The sequence below is a fragment of the Homo sapiens genome, chromosome 7, assembly GCF_000001405.40.
Source record: "Homo sapiens chromosome 7, GRCh38.p14 Primary Assembly".
Classification (NCBI taxonomy): Eukaryota; Metazoa; Chordata; class Mammalia; order Primates; family Hominidae; genus Homo; species Homo sapiens.
In genome coordinates this window covers 139821185-139841829 of record NC_000007.14, presented here as the reverse complement: position 1 = coordinate 139841829, position 20645 = coordinate 139821185, and the positions used below count along the sequence as shown (strand labels likewise).

General features: G+C 43.3%; 1 protein-coding gene across 9 annotated transcripts in view, besides 1 other annotated feature; it reads right to left on the bottom strand.

Annotated features, from left to right (window-relative positions):
* Window positions 1-20645, bottom strand: part of TBXAS1 (thromboxane A synthase 1) — a 242052-nt gene that overhangs the window by 178464 nt on the left and 42943 nt on the right. For 7 of the 9 annotated variants that reach the window (NM_001314028.4, NM_001166253.4, NM_001061.7 and 4 more), the window contains exon 1: window positions 12351-12566. The exons of 1 other annotated variant lie outside the window; for it this stretch is intronic. In NM_001314028.4, coding sequence (NP_001300957.1) covers window positions 12351-12353 — 3 coding nt within the window. In that variant the 5' untranslated portion in view covers window positions 12354-12566. Of the gene's footprint in view, window positions 1-12350; window positions 12567-20645 lie in introns of those variants that run through there. One more of the 9 variants, NM_001130966.5, reaches the window with a different exon arrangement.
* Window positions 11694-12893: an enhancer, noted in NCBI's record as "CDK7 strongly-dependent group 2 enhancer chr7:139528736-139529935 (GRCh37/hg19 assembly coordinates)". NCBI's record gives its function as "activates an origin of replication core promoter dependent on BRD2, BRD4, P300/CBP, MED14 and CDK7 cofactors, with strong dependence on CDK7, by STARR-seq in HCT116 cells {active_cell/tissue: HCT116}" and the evidence as "EXISTENCE:reporter gene assay evidence [ECO:0000049][PMID:35650434]".

Sequence of the window (20645 nt, the reverse complement as noted above, 5' to 3'; positions counted from 1 at the left end):
AGGGTTTAGCCTATCAGGAAAATGCCTCCGAAGGTCATAAAATTCATTTGGCTGTATAAGTATTGGAGTGTATGCTAAAATAATCAGTCACGTTACTTTATAGTCATACCTCGTACTCTCATTCTGGAAAATCAATAAAGTGAGGAGAAGGATAGGGATATTGTGTATAACCATTTAAGAGAGAGAAAACAAAAAAAATAATATTCTGTAGAAATGGTCCTCAAGGAAGCCACAGACCTAGTTTTCACAGCAGGCTCAATTTTATCTCCAAGCTCATCACTGAGTTATTAAATCGAAGTACCCATCATATCCTAGACAAAAATACAAAAAGATAAAAAAAAAAAAAAGGGAAATAGATGTATCCCTCTCTAGATGCTTGGAGGCACTGAAAATTATCCATGCCTTTAAAATGTATTTCTAAACTGTGTCCATTATTCACACTCCTAATGTTTTGTTCCAGCAAATGTTACAAACACTAATGTTGTCTTTGCCTGGGGTACTTCCCCACCTGAAATTTTCTCTTTCCTCTCCTCTGCCAAGTCAATTCTTCCCTGCATTTCAAGACCCAGCCCAAGACCTTCTGCTTCTCGAAGTAGAGTCTGACTGGCTGGCGATCCAGAAAGGCCTAGAGGCCAGGCCGGAAGAGGAGAGAAAAGAGTCAGGCATGAAGCTACCGTGAGGCCCCTAAACGCTGCTTCTGTATTTCTGGGCTCCTTGCCACGCTCACACCTAGGAACTACTGCTGGGGATGATGAGGTGCCCAGGCAGAAGAAGCAGCAGCCGCCATTGGGTCGCTGGTATGGCACCTGACTTGCTTTTCCTGAGCGGCAGCACAGACTGACCCATGCAAGAGCGCCAGTGGGCATAGAAGTCACGGAGTCCAGATCGGGAAGGCACTCGGTGGCCTTCTGTACCAGCTGCTCATGCCTGGCAGCAAGGGCTTTTGTGGCATTCCTATGGATGGTGAGGGACACTCACGACCTCCGAGGCGCTCTCTTGCCACCTTGCCAGACAGCTGTGAGTAGTACTCATTTTCTTTGGTGTAAACCTGGACCACCCCTACGCATGGGCCCTGCTTCTGTTCGCTAGACTCCATATTTTCTGTGCCCTGAAGGAAACAATACGTCAACCCTGGAACCTCAGAGCTTGCAAAGGGGCAATTTGAATGTCTTATTCCTCCGTTTTGTGGCCCCTCCATTTCCACTGGTTGTGCAGCTACCAATGCATCCGACCGCCGTTTTCAAGGGACCATCTCAGCGGGTCTAGTTGCCCAACCCACCACGGCCATATGCAGCAGTACTTTAGCAAAGACGCTGCGAAAACACTGGGTTAAATAAAGCTGAACAGGTTTCTTTATTAAAGAACCTTTCAGGGCCTTTGATATTCTATGAATCTCCAAGAAGGGCTTGATTTAGACTTAATTTCCTAAACACTTTTAGGAACCGAAGTTGGGAAATGGTGGGCAAATTGATCTTCAGTCCCCACATGCTGGAGGCGGGATGCCTTTTCCGGAGCTCACCTCCCATTGTGCCAGGGAATACCTACATGGCTTCTTCCTCTTCAGATTTCTCATCTTGGCTCCCATATTCCATCCCAATGGTGCCTTCTAAATATAGTCTGGAGTAGATGTGGGTCTAGAATTAGAGTCCAGTTCTTACATGTAGAAGAAACTCTCTGGGAAAGGAACTTCCAGGCATAGTGGTAAACTTAAGTCTTAATAATCTGTGATAGTCTTAAATCTTAATAATCACCAATCACATTTCAATTTAAACTGGTCTTAGAATGAGACTTGATCAGAACACTAACTCACTCTCTATCTGAAATCTCTTTTTTTTTTTTTTTTTTGAGACAGAGTTTCACTCTTGTTGCCCAGGCTGGAGTGCAGTGGTGTGATCTCGGCTCATTGCAACCTCTGCCTCCCGGGTTCAAGTGATTCTCCTGCCTCAGCCTCCCAAGTAGCTGGGACTACAGACAGGATCTTGCCCTGTCACCCAGGCTGGAGTGCGAGTGTAGTGGTGCAATCACAGCTCATTGTATCCTCAACCTCCTGGGCTCAAGAGATCCTCCGACCTCAGCCTCCCAAGTAGCTGAGATTACAGACTCGCACCACCACACCTGGCTAATTTTTGATTTGTTTTTTTTTTTTTTTTTTTGGTAGAAGCAGGGTCTCTCTTTGTTGCCCAGGCTGGTCTCAAACTCCTGGGCTCAAGTGATCCTCCCACTTTGCCCTCCCAAAGCCCTGGGATTTTGGGCATAAGCCACCACACCCAGCCTGAATTCCTATTTTTGATGTCGAATTGATTATGTACCTCTGGGTCTTGGTACCTGAGCTTTAAGAGCAGCTTGGTACTACAAGCCCTTCCAGGCTGTGTTCACATACTTGCCTAGATAGCTACTCACCTTCCTTGCCGCTTCATCAGCCCTGTTACTCCAAATCCTTTCAGACATTCTACTCCACTGGAAGAAATAATTAGACTACAGTCCTGAAACCTCACGCCTAAAGCATGAAACTGCTTTCCCCTTCACCACTAGAAGGGAGCAGTTTCCCACTCTTTTTAGTAAAATTTCTCTTTTTTGCTAAATATTCACACTCATTAAAGAAATACAAAAGATGCAGAAAGACTAAAAGAAGGGAAAAGAAATCACCCACAACCCCATCCCAGAAAGAAATCCACTATTGCTATCTGGGCTATTTCTTTACACTGGATCTTAAAGAATAAAGCAATCTTTATCCTCCCCACAGGAACCCAGCTGCCAGTCCTTAGGTGTTGCTTGAAAGATTAAATACGCTAGGACTTACGGTTGCCTCGAGCAACGTTCAACTCGTACAACTCATTTCTTGTCCATCAAATCTCCTCCAGAAGTAAGAATTTTAAACCATTTTATATGGGAAAAAATTAGTTTTTAAAATGTGTTATCTTGTGTGTTAATCGTCTTAGCATGTGCTCCATGTACTTCCAGCTAATACAGTCTCTATCCCCAGCTCCATCTCCAGCCCTGGTGGTGCAGCCCTGATCCCCTGATGCCCCAGTTCACAGAGCTCAGCCACACACTGGTCGGTTTAAATCAAATGATCATCATGGAAAAATGGTGTCCAACGCGGTTTCGGGAAAACGATCAAAGTGTACTGTGCCTAGTTTAAAACAGTGTCTTTTTAAATGAAAGATTTTTTTTGTCTTTTTTCCAAATTCACGCATACACCTAATAATTAATAAGTGTGCATTAAGTACATGGCATGGTGTCTGCTCTACAGGATAAGAAAGGATACAAAAACAGTCCATCTTCAACAACTGGAACAGTGCATGGCAAATTGACACAAACTGAAAACACAGCAAGCTTTCAGGAAAGGGAGTGGGTCACATGGGCAAGAGAATTTAGATCTGTATGGAACTGTGAAGGCCAAGAGAAGAACCACAGGAAGAAAGCACCAGGCAGAGCTTAGAGGTTGGAATTAGCCTTCAGTCAGCATTTGTTAGGCACCAACTATGTGCCAGGCATTGTGAGGGACAGAGATGGGATAAAAGCAATGCTGAGAGGGGGCTCCTCAGTGCCTTTGGAAACAGAAAACACTTCCCTGAGGAAGCACCCCTGAGCTTGGAGTTGAAGGAAAGAGGAGGCCTCATGCAGCAACAAAGGACCATTCACAGCACCCAGACAGCGTCGCTCTGACCCCAGCCCAGGATAAAAGAAACTGCTGAATTCTTTTATCAGTTCTAGGAGCTTTCTGGAGGAGGCCTTAGGGTTTGTGGGGGAGAGAGCGACAGGGGGCCCGCTGAAGGAGCAGGAGACCCACAGTGAGTCCTGGGGCGGGGCTGATGGTTGTGGACTTCTTGACTTTACCACCTTCAACCACATGCTAGCAGAGCATCCCTGCCATTGGCAGAAGATTCCAGAACTGTAATGAGATAGGAGACCTGGCCCTCACCCTTAGAGAACTCACAGGCTGGTTGAGAGCACAAGAAGCAACCTTGGTGTGCCTTTTGCTTTTTTGTTTTGTTTTGTTTTTGTTTTTTTATTTTTCCATAAGTTGTTGGGGCACAGGTGGCATTTGGTTACATGAGTAAGTTCTTTAGTGGTGATTTCTGAGATTTTGGTGCACCCATCACCCAAATAGTACACACTGCACCATATTTGCAATCTTTTATCCCTTGCCTACCTCTCATACTTCCCTCCAAGTCCCCAAAGTCCATTGTATCATTCTTATGCCTTTGGATCCTCATAGCTTAGATCCCACGTATCAGTGAGAACATACGGTGTTTGGTTTTCCATTCCTGAGTTATTTCACTTAGAATAATAGTCTCCAATCTCATCCAGGTCACTGCAAATGCTGTTAAGTCGTTCCTTTTTATGGCTGCATAGTATTCCATCATATACATATACCACAGTTTCTTTATCCACTTGTTGATTGATGGGCATTTGGGTTGGTTCCATGATTTTGCAATTGTGGATTGTGCTGCTATGAACATGCATATTCAAGTATCTTTTTCAAATAAAGACTTCTTTTCCTTTGGGTAGATACCCAGTAGCGGAATTGCTGGATCAAATGGTAGGTAGTTCTACTTTTGGTTCTTTAGGGAATCCCTACACTGTTTTCCATAGTGGCTGTACTAGTTTACATCCCCACCAGCAGGGTGGAAGTGTTCCCTGATCACCACATCCTCGCCAACATCTACTGTTTTCTTATTTTTTGATTATGGCCATTCTTGCAGAAGTAATGTGGTATTGCATTGTGGTTTTGATTTGCATTTCCCTGGTCGTTAGTGTTGTTGAGCATTTTTTCATGTTTGTTGGTCATTTATATATCTTCTTTTGAGAACTGTCTATTCATGTTCTTAGCCCACTTTTTGATGGGATTGTTTTTTTCTTACTGATTTGTTTGAGTTCATTGTAGAGTCTGAATGTGAGTCCTTGGTCAGATGTATAGATTGTGAAGATTTCTTCCCACTCTGGGTTGTCTGTTTACTCTGCTGACTGTTCCTTTTGCTATGCAGAAGCTCTTTAGTTTAATTAGGTCCCGGCTCTTTATCTTTGTTTTTATTGCATTTGCTTTCGGGTTTTTGGTCATGAAATCCTTGCCTAAGCCAATGTCTAGAAGGGTTGTTACAGTGTTATACCTAGAATTTGTATAGTTTCAGGTCTTAGGTTTAAGTCTTTAACTCATCTTGGGTTGATTTTTGAATAAAGTGAGAAATGAGAATCCAGTTTCATTCTCCTACATGTGGCTAGCCAATTATCCCAGTACCATTTGTTGATAAAGGTGTCCTTTCCTCACTTTATGTTTTTGTTTGCTTTGTTGAAGATCAGTTGACTAAGTATTTGGGTTTATTTGTGGTTCTCTATTTGGTTCCATTGGTCTATGTGCCTATTTTTATACCAGTACCATGCTGTTTGGGTGATGATGGGCTTATAGTATAGTTTGAAATAAGGTAATGTGAGGCCTCCAGATTTGTTCTTTTTGCTTAGTCTTGCTTTAGCTATGCAGGCTCTTTTTCAGTTCTGTATGAATTTTAGAATTGTTTTTTCTAATTCTGTGAAGAATGATGGTGGTATTTTGATGCAGACTGCATTGAATTTGTAGATTGCTTTTGGCAGTATGATCATTTTCACAATACTGATTCTACTCATCCATGAACATGGAATGTGTTTCCATTTGTTTGTGTCATCTATGATTTCTTTCAGCAGCATTTTGTAGTTTTCCCTGTAGAGGCTTTTCAACTCTTTGGTTAGGTATGTTCCTAAGTATTTTATTTATTTATTTATTTATTTATTTATTTATTTATTTATTTATTTATTTTTGCAGCTATTGTAAAAGGGGTTGACTTCTTGATTTGATTCTCTGCTTGGTCACTGTTGGTGTATAGGAGAGCTACTGATGTGTGGATGTTAATCTTGCATCTGGAAACTACTGAATTCTTTTATCAGTTCTAGGAGCTTTCTGGAGGAGGCCTGAGGGTTTTCAAGGTAAACGATTGTATTGTCAGCAAACAGTGACAGTTTGACTTCCTCTTTAGCAATTCAGATGCCCTTTATTTCTTTCTCTTGTCTGATTGCTCTGGCTAGGACTTCCAGTACTATGTTGAAGAGGAGTGGTGAGAGTGGACATCCTTGTCTTGTTCCAATTCTCAGAGGGAATGCTTTCAACTTTTCCCCATTCAGTATTAGGTTGGCTGTGGGTTTGTGATAGATGGCTTTTATTACATTAAGGTATGTCCCTTGTATGCTGACTTTGCTAAGAATTTTAATCATAAAGGGATGCCAGATTTTGTCAAATGCTTTTTCTGCATCTATTATCACATGATTTTTGCTTTTAATTTTGTTTATGTGGCGTATCACATTTATTGACTTTTGTATGTTAAACCATCCCTTCATCTCTGTTATGAAACCAACTTGATCATGGTGGATTATCTTTTTGATATGTTGTTGGATTTGGTTAGCTAGTATTTCATTAAGAATTTTAGTATTGGCCAGGCGTGTTGGCTCACGCCTGAAATCCCAGCACTTTGGGAGGCCGAGGTGGGTGGACCACGAGGTCAGGAGATCAAGATAATCCTGGCTAACATGGTGAAACCCCATCTCTACTAAAAAAAATACAAAAAATTAGCCAGCGTGGTGGCGGGCACCTGTAGTGCCAGCTACTCCGGAGGCTGAGGCAGGAGAATGGCATGAACCCGGGAGGCAGAGCTTGCAGTGAGCCGAGATCGCGCCACTGCACTCCAGCCTGGGCGACAGAGCAAGACTCTGTCTCAGAAAAAAAAAAAAAAAAAGAATTTTAGTATCTATGTTCATCAAGGATATTGGTCTGTAGTTTTCTTTTTTGGTTGTGTCCTTTCCTAGTTTTGGTATTGGGGTGATACTGGCTTCATAGAATGAGTTAGGGAGGGTTCCTTCTTTCTCTGTCTTGTGGAATAGTGTCAAAAGTATTGGTACCAATTCTTCTTTGAATGTCTGGTAAATTCTGCTGTGAATCCTTATGGTCCTGGACTTTTTTTTGTTGGTAATTTTTTAATTACCATTTCAATCTCACTGCTTGTATTGGTCTGTTCAGGGTATCTAATGCTTCCTGATTTAAGCTAGGAGGATTGTATTTTTCCAGGAATTTATCCATCTCAACTAGGTTTTTTAGTTTATGTGCGTAAAGGTGTTCATAGTAGCCTTGAATGATCTTTTGTATTTTAGTGGTGTCAGTTGTAATACCTCCTGTTGCATTTCTCAGTGACGTTATTTGGGTTTTCTCTCTTCCTTTCTTGGTTAATCTTGCTAATGGTCTATCAATTTTATTTATCTTTTCAAAGAACCAGTTTTTTGTTTAATTTATCTTTTATTTTGTGTGTGTGTATGTGTTTCAATTTCATTTAGTTCTGCTCTGATCTTGGTTATTTCCTTTCTTCTACTGGGTTTGGGTTCAGTTTGTTTCTATTTCTCTAGTTCCTTGAGGTGTGACCTTAGATTGTCCGTTTGTGCTCTTTCAGACTTTTTGATGTAGGTGTTTAGGGCTATGAACTTTCCTCTTAGCACTGCCTTAGCTATATCCCAGAGGTTTTGATAGGTTTTGTCATTATTGTCATTCAGTTAGAAGAATTTTTTAATTTCCATCTTGATTTTGTTTTTTACCCAATGCTCATTCAGAAGCAGGTTATTTAACAATTTCCATGTGTTTGCATGGTTTTGAAAGTTCCTTTTGGAGATGATTTCCAGTTTTATTCTGTTGTGGTCTGAGAGAGTGCTTGATACAATTTCAATTTTCTTAAATTTATTGAGGCTTGTTTTATGGCCTATCATATGGTCGATCTTGGAGAAAGTTCCATATGATGTTGAATAGAATGTGTATTCTGCGGTTATTGGATGAAATGTTCTGTATATATCTGTTAGGTCCATTTGTTCCAAGGTATAGTTTAAATCCATTGTTTCTTTGCTGACTTTCTGTCTTGCTAACCTGTCTGGTGCTGTCGGTGGAATATTGAAATCTGCCACTATTATTGTGTTGCTGTCTACCACATTTCTTAGGCCTATTTTAATTGTTTTGTAAATTTGGAAGCTCCAGTTTTAGGTGCATATATGTTTAAGACTGTGATATTTTACTGTTGGACAAGGCCTTTTACCATTCTATAATGTCCCTCTTTGTCTCTCTCTTTTTTTTATTTTTTTGAGAAAGAGTCTTGCTGTGTCACACAGGCTAGAGTGCAGTGGTGCAATCTCAGCTCACTGCAACCTCCACCTCCCAGATTTAAGTGATTCGCCTGCCTCAGCCTCCCAAGTAGCTGGGACTACAGGCACCTACCACCACACCCCTCTAATTTTTTTTTTTTTTTTTTTTTTTTTTGTATTTTTAGTAGAGACGGGGTTTCACTGTGTTGGCCACACTGGTCACGAACTCCTGACCTTGTGATCCAAAGTGCTGAGATTACAGGCATGAGCCACCACGCCCGGCCCCTCTTTGTCTCTTTTAACTGCTGTTGCTTTACGATTTGTTTTGTCTGATATGAGAATAGCTACCGTTGCTCTACTCGCTTTTGGTGTCCATTTGCATGAAATGCCTTTTTCTACCCCTTTAAGTTTATGTGAGTCCTTATGTGTTAGGTGAGTCTCCTGAAGGCAGCAGATAGTTGGTTGGTGAGTTCTTATCCATTCTGCAGTTCTGTATCTTTTAAGTGGAGCATTTAGGCCATTTACATTCAGTGTTAGTATTGAAATGTGAGGTACCATTGCATTCATTGGGCTCTTTGTTGCCTCTGTACTTTGGTTTTTTTTGTTGTTGTTGTTTTTTGCTTTTGCTTTTTAGCTCGTATTTTTGTTTTATGGGTCCTGTGTGATTTATGCTTTAAAGAGGTTCTGTTTTGATGTGTTTCCAGGATTTGTTTCAAGATTTGGAGCTCCTTTTACCAGTTCTTGTAGTGGTGGCCTAGTAATGGCAATTCTCTCAGCATTTGTTTGTCTGAAAACGACTGTATCTTTCCTTCATACATGATGCTTAGTTTCACTGGATACAACATTCTTGGCTGATAATTGATTTGTTTGAGAAGCTGGAAGACAGGGCCCCAATCCCTTCTAGCTTGTAGGGTTTCAGCTGAGAAATCTTCAGTTCATCTGATAGGTTTTCCTTTATAGGTTACCTGGTTCTTCTGTCTCACAACTCTTAAGATTCTTTCCTTTGTCTCAACTCTGGATAACCTGATGACAATGTGCCTAGGCAAAGATCTTTTTGCGATGAATTTCCCACGTGTTCTTTGTGCTTCTTGTATTTGGATGTCTAGGTCTCTAGCTAGACTGGGGAACTTTTCCTTGATTATTCCCCCAAATATGTTTTGCAAGCTTTTAGAATTCTCTTCTTCCTCAGGAACACCAATTATTCTTAGGTTTGGTCATTTAACATAATCCCAGACTTCTTGGAGGCTTTGTTCATATTTTTTTATTTTTTTTCTTTGTCTTTGTTGGATTCAGTTAATTCAAAGACCTTGTCTTTGAGCTCTGAATTTCCTTCTTCTACTTGTTCTATTGCTGAGACTTTCCAGAGCATTTCACATTTCTAAAAGTGTGTCCAAAGTTTCCTGAATTTTCTATTGTTTTTTCTTTAAGCTATCTATTTCATTGAATATTTCTCCCACTCAAATTGGGGGAGTGTGTTGGGAGAGGAGGGTCTCCCTTTCCCACTTCCGCAGTTGGGGCACTCACAGTATTTGGGGTGTCTTCTGGGCCCTACAGGAGCAATCCGCTTCCTTCAGAGGGTCTGTGGGTCCCCTCAGAATTGCTGATTTATTCTTGCAGTTGATCTGGAGCTAAAATTCACCATGGAAGCTTCCAGATGCTGCTTTGTCTGGAGCTGCAGTCTAGTCCTGCCTCCTGTCCACCATGATTCCCTCCATCCTCCCATCCTTCTGTTTTGTTTTGTTTTGTTTTGTTTGAAACAGAGTCTTTCTTTGTCACCCAGGCTGGAGGGAAGTGGCATGATCTCAGATCACTGCAGCCTGTGCCTCCCAGGTTGAAGCGATTCTCCTGCCTCAGCCTCCCAAGTAGCTGGGATTACAGACACCTGCTGCCATGCCCAGCTAATTTTTGTATTTTTAGTAGAGATGGAGTTTCACCATGTTGGCCAGGCTGGTCTCGAACTTCTGACCTCAAGTGATCTGTCTGCCTTGGCCTCCCAAAGTGCTGGGATTATAGGCATGAGCCACCGCGCCCAGCCCATTTGATTTCACCTTCTCAGGGTTTAGGTTCTCTGCTGCCATCTCACCTGGCTGGATGGCACATGTAACACTTAAAGCAAAGACTAATGTGCTGCAATGTTTAATCCACTCCCCCTGCCAGTTTCTCCTGCAAGTGTCTCTACACCTCCATCTTTCCTTGCCTGTGAATCCTCTCACTGGAGGAAAAGCACCCCTGTCTCTTCCACACATATCCTTTCAAGACAATGAAGCAGGAAGGGGGCCTTGCCTCATTCAAGCTGGTGGCTGTTGCTTAGTGGCTGACTAGAGTCTCACCCGGAACAGAAGGGTTGAAAGCCCAAGGGTGGTTCCCCTTGCACTGAATCAAGGGATGGACCCAAAAGCACCAGAGCCAGGGCCGTGACCTCTCTCCTGCTGCCTCTGCTCCTCCTGCAGTATCCTCTCTAGACATCCAGCTCACCCCCAGAACCTCTGTGTCTCCCCTGCCTTGGGCACCTTCTCCAGATCTCCTGCTTCCTGACCTTGTACCAGGGCCTCCTCCAGACTGGGCACACATTAACAGGTTAATAAATATTTTTGCAATAACAAATAGAAGTCAGCTCTCACTTCCTGTTTACCACTTCTGCTTGGTACATTTATCTTAATCTCTGCATCTTTGAACCAGGTTATTAATATGGCCCAAGAATAGACAGCAAACACATAGCTGCCCTGCTGAATGGTGTGGTGTTCCTACATGGCAGGCACTGAGCTGGAGGCTCAGACACAACAAAGACTGAAACAAAAGTGTAAAAAAGTGTCCGCTTTGAGAACCACAGTCAGAGCATAGCTATTGATGAGATTAATATGAATAAGCACATTAGTAAGAAATTAAAAATAAACCTAAACCACTAAAGACTTATTTTCTTTTAGGTTACATAGATGATAGATGGTTAATTATAGTGGCTGACATCGACTAAGCACTTTCTGCATGTCAGACACTGTGCTTCGGGCTTCCCGGAGCATAAAAACACATTGAGATGGATTATTGGGGGCTGGGGGTAGGGAAGGAGCTACCATTTGCTCTTGGTTTTACATGTGGCCAGTTTCAATCCAAGGTAAGCTACAATGAGATAAAAAAGTTCAAAAAAAAAATTAAACCAGTTAAAAAGAAAAACAGCACTGGGACTGAGGCTGGGTTTCAGAGCCAATTTCCAAGAAGTAATTTCATCATCATAGAACATCAAACGTGAATTCCACTCTCAGCTATGCAAATTCCAAAAGAATAATACCTCACATTTGCATAATGCTTGATGCTTTTCAAAGTGCTTTCCCAGTTATTAATCTAGAGAAGGCTTTATTACTACTGAAAACATAAATTAAAATTCTGTTCGGACTCCAGTCCTCCATTATTTTTTCCACTCACTTTGCCCTCAAAAGCCAGAGCCATCTAAATCCAGGTGCTTTTGATTGAATGGGTAACTCTAATAAGTTTAACTGACAGGGCGAATATGCATAAATGTAGCATATTATGAGGCCTTCGACCTACAGACACCAGAGTCAGCCTTAGGAAAATTTGCTGTTGAATTAACAAAACCACAGGGGAGCAACTCGGAGTTCAAGTTTGAGATCCTTTCAGGGTCTCAAATTTTGTAGGAGCTGCACACACTATGTTCATCAGAATCCATCTCCCTCTATCAACTATGAGAAATTAGATCTACCACTTTGTCCTTAACCCTACAGAAATCCCCCTCAATGACTTCCTGCAAAGAGGCCCACATTTGCCAAACAGCTCCTACGTCTTGTTTTGTTTTGAATGTAATATGAACCAAGAGGCTGAATTCACTGTAAATCCAACAAGGACAGAGGATTTTAGAAAAATGAGGTGAGGAGATATGACGGGGTTCAAGGAAATGCTTCTACCCAAACCTAATGCCTTTCCAATTTGTTTCTTTTTCCATCTCTTTCAAACTTAATTATGTGTAGCGTTCTCAGTCACTGAATCACCAGCCTTTCCTGACACTTCAATCTCATGCATTTTAGCAAAAGATTAACCTGGCTGTTTGCTTTTAATTCTGAAGCTGTGTTAATACTCACTCCCGCTAGATTAGAAAAGAAGAAAAACACACTCCCACATACCCCGCCATGGCACCAGCAAGGCTCCAGGGTGAGACGGCTGACGCTGTCACAGTCCCTAGGGCTGGCTGCACTTACCATTTCAGGAGGGCCAAGAGAGCCACTGACAGGGCCACCGTCACCATGGGGCCATTCACTTCCAATTTTAGAAACCCCAAGGCTTCCATCATTCCTCTGAGACCCCAGAGTGGTGGTCTTCCAGATGAGACAGGAGGCTGATCTCGCCGCCCTTATGGGAACCGTGCTCTGCAGGTAGAAAAGGGAACAGGCAACCAAGCAAACATCACATGGAGTGGGCCCCCACAATGTGCTCTTTCTCAGAGTGTCTCCCTATAAAGAGGAAGGAAGAGGAGGGCACAACAAAGGGTTTCAGTGTAAAGGAATGAATCAGCAACTTTATTCCTTGATGACTGCACTGTCAATAAACATTTATATTAACTTCCTCAGAGAAGAAAAGCAAACTTCCCCATGTTTGCTGAGAAACAAAATGGTTGTAACCACGGACTTGTACTCTGAGAGGAAGTCTTCAAAGAGAGACTCTTCTCCAAAATGTCTATCTATATCTATCTCTATGTCTATATCTATATCTATATCTACATCCATCTATAATTTTTTAAATTCACAATTAAGTGAAGATACATGTCAAGAGATTCTGAATATCCCAGAAAAATACAGGACCAGACGCCAGCCTGATCAAAATGCTGGCTGCTTTGAGGACAACCATCCCACCAAGTCCATTAGTTGCTGGGTCTGAGGACCTGTCTGAGTGTCTGGCTGTTGGAGCAAAGCAAAGATCCCGATTGGGGTCAGTGTTCTCATGGTGAGTTGGAGGGCTTCTCAAGTGTTTGAAGGCAGATCCGTAGGCTCATATATGGGTCCTTTGTTCTAGCTTTGAGCTTATCTGACTAAAGTGGACAGAGAGATGGAGGGGATCATAGTGGCTGGGTGGCAGGACTAGATTGCAGCTTCAGACAGAGCAGCATCTGGAGGCTTCCATGGTGAATTTTAGCTCCAGATCAACTGCAAGAAAAAACCAGCAATCCCAAAAGGACCCACAGACTCTCTGAAGGAACCAGACTGCTCCTGCAGGACCCAGAAGACACTCCAAATACTGTGAGTGCCCCATTTGCGGAAGTGGGAAAGGGAGACCCTCCTCTCCCAACACAATCCCCCAATATTGAATGGGAGAAATATTCAATGAAATAGCTTAAAGAAAAAATAATTGAAAATTCAGGAAACTTTGGACACACTTTTAGAAATGTGAAATGCTCTGGAAAGTCTCAGCAATAGAATTGAACAAGTAGAAGAAAGAAAATCAGAGCTCAAAGACAAGGTCTTCAAATTAACCCAATTCAACAAAGACAAAGAAAAAAGAATAAGAAAATATGAACAAAGCCTCCAAGAAGTCTGGGATTATGTTAAATGACCAAACCTAAGAATAATTGGTGTTCCTGAGGAAGAAGAGAATTCTAAAAGCTTGGAAAACATATTTGGGGGAAGAATCAAGGAAAACTTCTGCAGCCATCTAGAGACCTAGACATCCAAATACAAGAAGTACAAAGAACACATGGGAAATTCATTGTAAAAAGATCTTTGCCTCAGCACATTGTCATCAGGTTATCCAGAGTTGAGACAAAGGAAAGAATCTTAAGAGCTGTGAGACAGAAGAACCAGGTAACCTGTAAAGGAAAACCAATCAGATGAACAGCAGATTTCTCAGCAGAAAACCTACAAGCTGGAAGGGATTGGGGCCCTGTCTTCCGGCTCCTCAACAAACCAATTATCAGCCAAGAATTTTGTATCCAGTGAAACTAAGCACCATATATGAAGGAAAGATACAGTCATTTTCAGACAAACAAATCCTGAGAGAATTCGTCATTACCAAGCCACCACTACAAGAACTGGTAAAAGGAGTTCTAAATCTTGAAACAAATCCTGGAAACACATCAAAACAGAACCTCTTTAAAGCATAAATCACACAGGACCTATAAAACAAAAATACAAGTTAAAAAACAAAAGCAAAAAACAAACAAAGAAGTACACAGGCAACAAAGAGCCCGATGAATGCAATGGTACCTCACATTTCAATATTAACACTGAATGTAAATGGCCTAAATGCTGCACTTAAAAGATACAGAACTGCAGAATGGATAAGAACTCACCAACTAACTATCTGCTGCCTTCAGGAGACTCACCTGACACATAAGGACTCATGTAAACTTAAAGTAAAGGGGTGGAAAAAGACACTTCATGCAAATGGACACCAAAAGCCAGCAGGGGTAGCTATGGGCTTCCTTTTCTGTGCCCCCACAGGTCTTAGGATGGTCACAGGTACATTTGTTACAGAAGGCTGTGGTCACAGGTGCAGATTCCCTGGAAAGGAGTGAGAGAAAAGACAGGGAGGGCACACAGAAGGCTGCTGCCTTCACCCAGAGAGAAGGGATGCTTGGCTAGAGGAGAGAGGGAGGTGGGAAGAAGTAGATGGACTTGAAATATATTTTGGGGGTGGGTTCATGCTCTGCAGAAGTTCCTGGTGGGGTGCATATGAAAGGGAAGGGGAAAGGAGGACCACACCTGACCCTCAGGTTCCAAACTTGAGCTACAGGTATATCAGGTGCCATTCATTGAAACAGGGAGTCTGGGAAAGGTGAGGTATTGTTGGGAAAATCAAGAATTCTGATTCAGTTTTGTTAAGCCTGAGATGCCCTGGAGACATCTGAGTGGAGGTGTCGAGCCAGAGAGCACTGATGGCTGAAAATATGAATAATAACAATTGATCATGATCATGTCATTTGAGTGCTTACTACACACTAGTTATTCTAGGAGCTTTCCTATGTGTCAACTCATTTAATCCTCATACACACACCTAGCGGGTAAATCTTATGGTTAGCCCCAAGTTACAGAGGAAGAAACTGAGGCATGGGCTGTATGACTCTAAAGCCCATGCTCTTCCTCGAAAGATTATATTCAAACGTGGAAGCCATCAACATAAATTTGGTATTTAAATCCAGGGGAAGAGATGAGTTACAGCCACAAATAAGATAGTGAACCGCACAGGTGCCAAGAACCTTCCTTTCCTTCTGACCATTTGCCCTGCCTCCCTGTTTTTAACAGACGTATTATGAAAATTATTCCTCTGTAGTTCCCTGCTTATTAGTGTCCCTCCATGTCACTCCTACTTAGTGTCCCCCAACTGCACCACCCCATCTGGCTGCTCCTGGCTGCATTTCAAGCCCTTTTAGACTCCCCACCCCTCTCCTTTTTCAGTAGGCTACCTCTCCTTCATCCCATTCCATCGGGATCTGTACTGAGAGGCTAACCCATTCTCTCTCACAAAACAGAGCTTCGTTTTTTCCAGGGGTCACCTGAAATAATCCATGTTCAGCCACAGGAACACTGCAGGATGATGGCCCGGCAGCATGGAGGGGGTGGCATGGAGGGTGACTCATCGTGGTCACGGATTCAGGGAGCGAGCAGTGACTGTGGATAACACTTAACTCAGTGTATGTATAACCAAGATGCTCAGAAAAAAAATATCTTAAAGGATGCCAAGGTGAAATAAACATGAGAATTGCTGGTATAAGCATTGATAAGTAAGTTTATTTACTGCCAGACCTCAGAGACTCTAACCTGCTAATATGCATTGGAAATCTCCAAGAGCACGATGCAGAGAGCTGCATTTCTCAAGTGTATTTTACCACAAAGGCCTCTTCAGGGACATTTATAACATATCCCAGATGTAGTTTTCCAAGGAGAGTGCTTTGAGAAACACTGACCAAGCCTTACTCTTTTTTACAGAGGTGAAAACAGAAACCCAGAAAGGGAAAGTGACCGGTACACTGTCCCATAGTTGTTTAGGGATAGGATCTAGGTCTCCGAAGCCCTTCTCAGGCACTTGATTTAGAACGTGCCCCTCACATCAACCTGTGGACATGGCACTGTGCACCCAGCACAGCTCCCACCCTGCTCATGGAGAGGCTATAGAATGTTGGTGGCCAGCTTGGAGATGTCCAGCTTTCTTGGGGAGTTGCCAGCTCCCCCATGGGCGCTGAGTTAACTGGCTCATTCCTCTAATATTCTTGGAGCCCTTCATATGTGATTTGTGATTTGTAGAAACCATAAATGCCATGGAGACGTTACCACACCCATTCTGTGGCTGCGCAGAGTGGAGACAATACTCTGTGAATTGTGGACAGTAAATTAGCCAGGATGGAGTGGAAGGGAAGAAATGAGAGATGCTCGGGGTTTTTACTGGGACAGTAGCATGATGAAGGATGTATTACAATTTTGGTACCTGTGATGCAATACAGGGACACTGATCAGGGTTTTTCTAGGATGAAGGTCAGACAGTTGCCATATTTCCCGTAATTTCACTATTTTCTGTATATTTTTCTTTTACTAATATGTCTATTAAAAAAAAATCAACTCAGGCTGGGCGCAGTGGCTCATGTCTGTAATCGCAGCATTTTGGGAGGCCGAGGCAGGTGGATCACCAGAGGTTAGGAGTTCAAGACCAGCTGACCAACATGGCAAAACCCTGTCTCTACTAAAAATACAAAAATTTGCCAGGCATGATGGCAGGTGCCTGTAATCCCAGCTACTTTGGAGGCTGAGGCAGGAGAATCATTTGAACCCAGGAGGCAGAGGGTGCAGTGAGCCAAGATCACGCCATTGCACTTCAGCCTGGATGATACGGCAAGACTCTGTCTCAAAAAAAAAAAAAAAAAAGAAAAGGAAAAGAAAAAGAAAGAAAAGAAAAAATCAACTCTACACAACTGTACAGAAAATATCCTATAATCCCAACTCCCACTGACAAACTCTGGTCACAAATTAATTCCTATCCTCTTGTATTTTTCCATGCATGCACAGGCATATGTATATTTTTAGTTTTTATGGAAACAAGATCATCATACCTGTGCCATCCTGCAACTGGTCTTTCTCACTTATTGTATAATGAATATGTTTCCTGTTCATATTTAGAGACATAACGCCGTTTGCTGCTTCAGTCCACTGTACAGACGTGTTGTAATTTGTTTAGCCTATCCTCTGCTAAACAGCATTCGAGTTGTTTCCAAGTTTTCTCAACTTCTAATGAGGCTTCAGTGGACATCCTTGTATATATTATTGTGCCCTTGCATGAGGCTATCTCAAGCGACATTCTTAAAAGTGGAACAGCTGGGCCCAAAGATGTGTGTTTCCAAAATGCTGGTAAGTGCTACCCTGTGTACAGGCAGGACCGACTTTCCGTCTCGAGCCATGCGGGGAGGTGCCCACTTGCCCCACTTTGTAGGGCTCCCCACAGAGCTTTGCTTACCCTGTCTCCACTCACTCCAAGTCTTTTTCCCCCACTCCTACTTCCAGGCAGACATCTCCCCTAGAATTGAGTCAACTGTTTTGACTTCAGACTTGTGTTTCTTTTTAAAGCTTTCACTCCATAAATTCTGTGGTATTTCCTTCATGTTCCCTATGTTTAAAAACTGCCCGTGCAGATGTCTAAGTGGTGCCTTCCTTCTCTGCTGAAGGCTCCCAGCTGCTCTGTGCTAAGCCTGACGTCTCTGGCAAGGACTGAGGCAGAGGCTGAAACAGAGGCTGAAAGAGGTGTCAGCAGGCACATTCTCTTTGCCATGAAGGATGCTGGGTAAAGGGACAATGGAGCTTCCTCAGCACCATACAAGTACCAAGAAATTCTCTAACTTTACTCAGCCTCAGAGCAACCCCAGGAAGTAAGTGACCAATACTTTTCATTCCCAGGTTGATAAAACCGGAGCTCAGAGATGTCCCACGACCACCTGAGGTCATACATGTAACACAACCTAGAGGCCAGGCTCAAGCCCGAATCTTTTGGCTTTACATGCAGTGTTTTTTTCCCACTAAATCTAAGATCACATCTTGGTTTAGAATACTCATAGTTCACCGAGCCAGCCCACGGTTATGATATCGTTTATTCTGATGTTTACCTCCAGGGTGCAGAGTGGCTAGAGGGAAGAAAGAGGACGGGTGGTATGAGCTTGGGGTCTGCTTCACCTCCTTACAAAAGATATTAGGGGCCCTTTGGAAGCATGAAAACCTTGGCTACCCCCAATGCAGTCCAGTCTCTTCAATATGATCCTTTTAGGGACTCTGTTCCATTTCTGAGAGCGGGAGATCAGGTTAGGAGGACTCCTCTGTTCCTTCAGTCCTTCTTCTAGAAAACACTTATTGAATAATCACTGGGGACCTGGCAGTAGATGAGAATCCCAGTGTATAAGCCCCACATCTCTCCAACAAGGAGCTCACCTTCCAGGATAAGGAAATAGACATATAATCACCTAAGTTCCGTCCGTCTTATAGTTATGATGGCACACAAATACATGCAGGGCACAGAGCGGACACAAACAGGAGGACAGGAGATCGGCAAAAGGTTTGAATCTAATGACATTTGAGCTTAGACTGTGCAGATGAATTCACCAAGCAGAAGAGAGTAGGATAGATGTGCTTGTCGGAGGGAGCATGGCTGACGCTTGCTCAAAGGCATGGGAAACTGGGGTGAGTGGGGAGGACGGGGAGATATGCAAGGCACTGCGGGCCATACCAAGAAGTTCATCTTTCATGCTAGGGTCAGGGAAAGCCAGAGCAGGAGGTAAAATTGAGCAGCAACGTGATCAGATTGGCTTCTAGAAATATCACTCAGGAGGCAGATTGGATGCTTTCTACCTGACATGAGGACCAGCCAGGAGGCTGCGGGTCAGCTAGGTGGGGGATGACAGCCTGAATAAGGCAGTGGATGTGGAAATGAGCAAGAGAGGGCTGGTTTTTAAGACCACTAGGAAGGCAGAATCCATAGTATTTGGTTGCTGATTGAGTGTGGGGATGAAGAAGAGGGGGACGTCAAGGATCACCCCTGAATGTCCGGCTCTGTTGAGTGAGCCCATGATAGTGCCATACAGTACGACAGGGACTCGGGGAAGGAAGCAAGTGTTAGGAAGCTATCGTGGCTTCAGTGTTCTGCACGCTGAGCACGAGGCCTCTTGCGGCCCCACAGATTAAGATGCTCGGGAGATGGCCAGATCTGTAGAGGTCAGGAGAAAAATCTGAAGTAGGGAAATAATTTTCATTTTGAGAGCCATTTGCTTGTGGATGGGGCAAAGCCATAGGGATAAAAGTGGGCTACAGAGAACAGGTAGAGTGCTGAGAAGGGAAGCACGGAGTTGAGGGTGGGGGAACCAACACCAAGAAGAGCAGCCTTACAGGGCAATACCAAAGAGATGCCTGGAAAAAGATTCAACAGATATAACCAGAGAGAGAGAGAGAGAAAGAGTATAAGAGAGAGCAAGCAGACAACAGGACCATTAGCTGAGGAACCTTATTTTACTGCTTAAGGATGCAGCTTTTTGTTTTCAAATGACCTGTGTTCAAATCCTACCCCTTCCATACTCTAGCTTAGACAATCTTAGAACCCAAAATGATCTCTCTGAGCCTCGGTTTCTCATTTGTGAAGTGGTGATAACTGTCCACACTGCCTAGGATGGTTGAGAGGAAAATGAATTCCTCGTGTGGCCTGATTAGTGGAGCTCTGGCTCACAGGGAGCACTCAATACACGAGGTCTGTGATTGTTTCCACTGAAGCCACTGGCGGACAGTTGCAGGAAGCAGGAAACGACGTACAGCATTCGTGCCACAGAAAGACCAAGGGAAAGTGGCAATGTGGTCATTACGGCCACCTCCTTCCTGGCTTTGGCAAAGTGGAGGGTGTAGAGAGACAAGACCTAGAGAAAAGGGGGTTTGGACAGAAAGGGCTGATTCTGACGTCCCCCTCCCTCTCTTCGGCCCCATGGCTGAGACGTGGAAGAAGACTCGGGTTTGGACTGGCTAGAAGAGTGGAATTTGCAGGTGCCACTCATTGTGGGTCCCACGGGGAAGAGGAAACATCTCCTGCAGTGGGAGACTTGTGGGAGACAGCAGCCATCTGTGTGTTTCCCCTGCCTGTGATAAGGGCAGAGCTATCGCTCTGCTTCAAGGTTGCTATGGAGATATGGATGGGCTCATAAACAGTTTTAAGGTCTATGTCATATCTTGATTTTGTATTAGTCTTGAGGGCAGGGACCATATTTTATACATCATTGTACAACCACACCACCTATCACATTGCAATCTCATCCACTCACTTGGCTTTTGTTAACATCACAGGCTGTTCACTCCCAAATCTATTCTCTCCAGCCCAATTGTCATTCCTGAGTTTCAGACCAATATATCCAGCTGCCCACTGGACATCCTCTGACAACCAGCCTACAGATGCTACAGACTCGAAAAATCTAAAGCTAGACTCATTGCCGCAGCCTCCTTTCTCCATTAACCTCATCCCATCTCCCCCGTCTCAGTAAATTGTACCTTCCT